At 44.5% G+C, this 3,501-nt stretch overlaps 1 pseudogene; it reads right to left on the reverse strand.

Annotated features, from left to right (window-relative positions):
- Window positions 1-1,552: 1,552 nt before the first annotated feature.
- Window positions 1,553-2,404, reverse strand: LOC100420513 (TNF receptor associated factor 4 pseudogene; annotated as a pseudogene).

Genomic DNA, 3,501 nt, shown 5'->3' on the forward strand with positions numbered 1-3,501 from the left:
TCTAGATATTCTTGTCACATTCAAAAACAAATTTTTATTGAACTTCATACATAATTGAGAATGGAGTGCTTTGTGTTGTTGTGGGGATAATTCAGGTAGTACTTCATCTTTCTGTTCCATTTAGTATGTAGACGTACACTATAGCACACAGCAAAAATAGATTCAGGAGAAGTGACAACTTCTGAACAGTAAAAGATGACTTCTACATAGTTATTTATTTATTCATTAAAATGTTTATTGAACACATTATGGACAGGGTGCTATACATAACACTGAAGACACAATGATGAAATAAAATGGATGTGGTCTCGCCCTCATGGAATTCATAATCTATAGGTGAGATAGACAACAAACCAGACATTTTTAAGTATGATGAGGGTTATGAAGAAGAAATTCAGGTTATCCTCCAGGTCTCTGCAGAAGTGTCACTTCCTTCTAGAAGACATCCCTGACCTGGGGGATTTGTAGAAAGTTGATATGACGGGAGAAGGAGGGAGATGAAGAAATGAGTGAAGCCACCTGAATGTTCTAGTCTAGCTCCCATCTCATTCCAGATGCATGAGAGAATGGAAGCAAGGATAACAGAAAAACCATAGAGCCATGCCCCACTCAGTCTTCAAAATTATGAACAATAAGAAAGCCATCGTTACGTTAAGCCACTACATTTTGGGGCAGGTTGTTATATGGGGATAAATAACCCAAACATAGTGGCTTCCATTTTGCAAGTTAAAGTGACCTTTTTAATTGTGAATCTGGATGTCACAGGGCTTGGCTGAGCCTAAACCAGGAATCTCAGTGTGTCTCAACGTACGTGCCTCCCCAGGCACCTATTTCATGGGGAAGAAAAGAGTTGGAGAGGGAAAGTTTTAGTGCAGGTGATGATATCGATAGATCCTGGGGATGAAGGGCAGGAAATCCAGTACATCTTCCTCAAAAAGGCCTCATAGTGTGGATTTCAGTCCTGGACAGGCTATTTTCTCCACATGTGGGTGGAGCCCAGTTCAGGGTTTGGGAGCATTGGGAACCAAAGGGAAGGTGACCCATTTGGCAGTGCCTTGAGGGCTGCAGTATTAGGCACTCCTGAATGTTGCTTTGAGGGAAGAGAAACCACGTCACAAAGGAAGAGTTGAGGCATCATTCTGAAGGCAGTTGAACTTTCCAGAAGGCCAGAGTGAAGGATCATGAATGGGCTCGCATATGCGGCACTCCCCAGGGATGCCCCAGGCAGCCGTGCAGAATGGGGGAAGGGGTCAGAGTGGTGTGGGTTCAGGTCTGAGAAATTTGAATATCTGTGTTACTAGGCTCTTTTTCATCTCCAGAGAGGCTGTCCCATCTCCCTTTTTGCTTTTTATCTCCTCCTTCTTCATAATTCTTCCTTCTAGGAGAAGTAGCCTAACCTTTCTAAAGTAGTTTTTTTTCTAAAAAATACACTTACGGATTTCTTAAAAATCAGGGCCCCTCTGCTTTGCCCTCTTGGCACTAAGGAAATAAATAACCAGAGGGGGCACAGCTAGGGAAAGGGGAAAAAAAATCAGATCTCAAGACAGATTCTTTGAACTACCCTTTCTCCATCCCCAACTCCCACCCACCTATGGCTCTTGGGACATAGCACCTGAGCAAGCACCTCAGTGCGGGTAGAGTGTGATCGGCACCAGGGCATGTCTGCCCTACCTAAGAAGGGAGACAGGCCCTGGGGTCACTTGTTTCCAGCCCTTGATGACCCCAAGACCTGTTCCCCACACTGTACATAGTATTTTGCTTTCGGATGTCCTGGTGGGAGATGAACTTAGGAAGATCTCTCATCCAGGGAGCCCCCACTCCAAGTGCCCGGCTTCCAGTTTAGGCAGGGGTGGAAGGTCTCAGTGACATGCTGTGGTTTAGCCAGCCCAGGGTTGCTCTGATCCAGCAGGGAGAAGGTGACACAGTGGGCAAAGGGCCACTCAAGGAGATTGTCAAAGGCACCAGGCAGCAAGCCAACGTACAGTGAGAGGTGTGTGCCCTCGCCACTGCCATTGCCATTGAGGAATGCAGACACCTGCAGCTTGTAACCATACTTATGTGTGTAGAAGGCTGGGCTGAAGCACTCAAGGTTGGGCTTGGCCTTGGCCTTCTGTAGCCACCGACCATAGCTGCCAATCTTCCAGATGAGCATACCATCACTGCCCACTGATAGCTCCTCCAGCTCTTGCTGAAGGTCCTGCAGCTCCTGCCATTGCCAACTCAACAGAGCACACATCATGGCCAGATGTGGCTTCACACTGTCCTCCACATGCCGTGCCATTGCCAGCTTAGGGCGCCAGTGCTTGCAGCTGGAGTCTTTGAATGAGCATAGCACCAGGGCGGTGCTACAGCTGTCCTTCAGATGGTCTGGCAGGTCCTCCCGAGCCACAGTGCCCACACCACAGTACAAATTTTAATCCATAAAATTGGTAGAATAACATCTACTGTAAGATGATGCATGTATGTGCTTAAGTACGTGGCATACTGTCAGAGTTCAATAATGACTAAATCGATTATTATTCTACTTGGAAACACTCCTAATAGATTTGAAAGCAATTAGCTAAAAGCTGGCTATTGTTGGCTTCTAAAAGATAAGGGGCATTGGTGAGGCGCAGGATTAAATTGACAGAGAAGTCTGTTAGTGGGTATATCCAGGATTATTCTGTCCTTGTGCCAATCTGCTTAGATGTCTCTGAGAAAATGAGCAGAAGAGGCAGAGCACATTAGATAGTCAAAAGATATTTAGCGAACGCCTCCTACGTGCTAGCACTGGAAATAGGGCGATAGATGAAACTAACTACATCCTCTCATAGAGCTTACAAGGAAACAGGAAAGGCAAATATTAAAGAAACGTCAACTCAAATACTCATTAATTGTAGGTTGTGCGGGGTATTACAAAATGCCCACTGCCTACTGACCCATTTGGACAACATTTTGTATCTTCCCAGCAGACTGCCAGCCCAGAAATCAGATTCAGTTTTTCTTAAACAGACCCAATTTTCCCTGGATTCAGATCCAGGTCACTTACTATTAAGATCAAATTTAGTTTCTGAGTCTCAGTTACCTTATTTGTAAATTGGGGGATGTTATAATCATTCCAATCTCAAAGGATTATTGAAGAGTTCATTAACTGAAGCCTGGGTGAAATCTCCCTCAATGCCTGGCTCATGGTGAGTCCCAGTAAATGCTGTTTCATTCCTTTTTCTAGTGTAGAAACACATTAAACTTACGAGTGGGCTGCTCTGAGTATCAAACTTGAAGACAAAGATAAGATGAACACACATACTCCTCACATGTGAGGTTTGAGCTCTTAATTCAGAGAAATGAGCGTATTAACAGAAGAATTTTTTTGGCAACGTTACTGAGTCCTCCCTCTCTGGATTGTTCCCTGTCAATTGTATTTTAAACAAGCTATGAATGGGAACCAAACCAAAACCGTTTTGTTTTAGCAGCAGCAGGTTAAAAGTTGTCTGAACTACATCATCCAATAAAAGGCTAAGG

The sequence above is a fragment of the Homo sapiens genome, chromosome 5, assembly GCF_000001405.40.
Source record: "Homo sapiens chromosome 5, GRCh38.p14 Primary Assembly".
Taxonomy (NCBI): domain Eukaryota; kingdom Metazoa; phylum Chordata; class Mammalia; order Primates; family Hominidae; genus Homo; species Homo sapiens.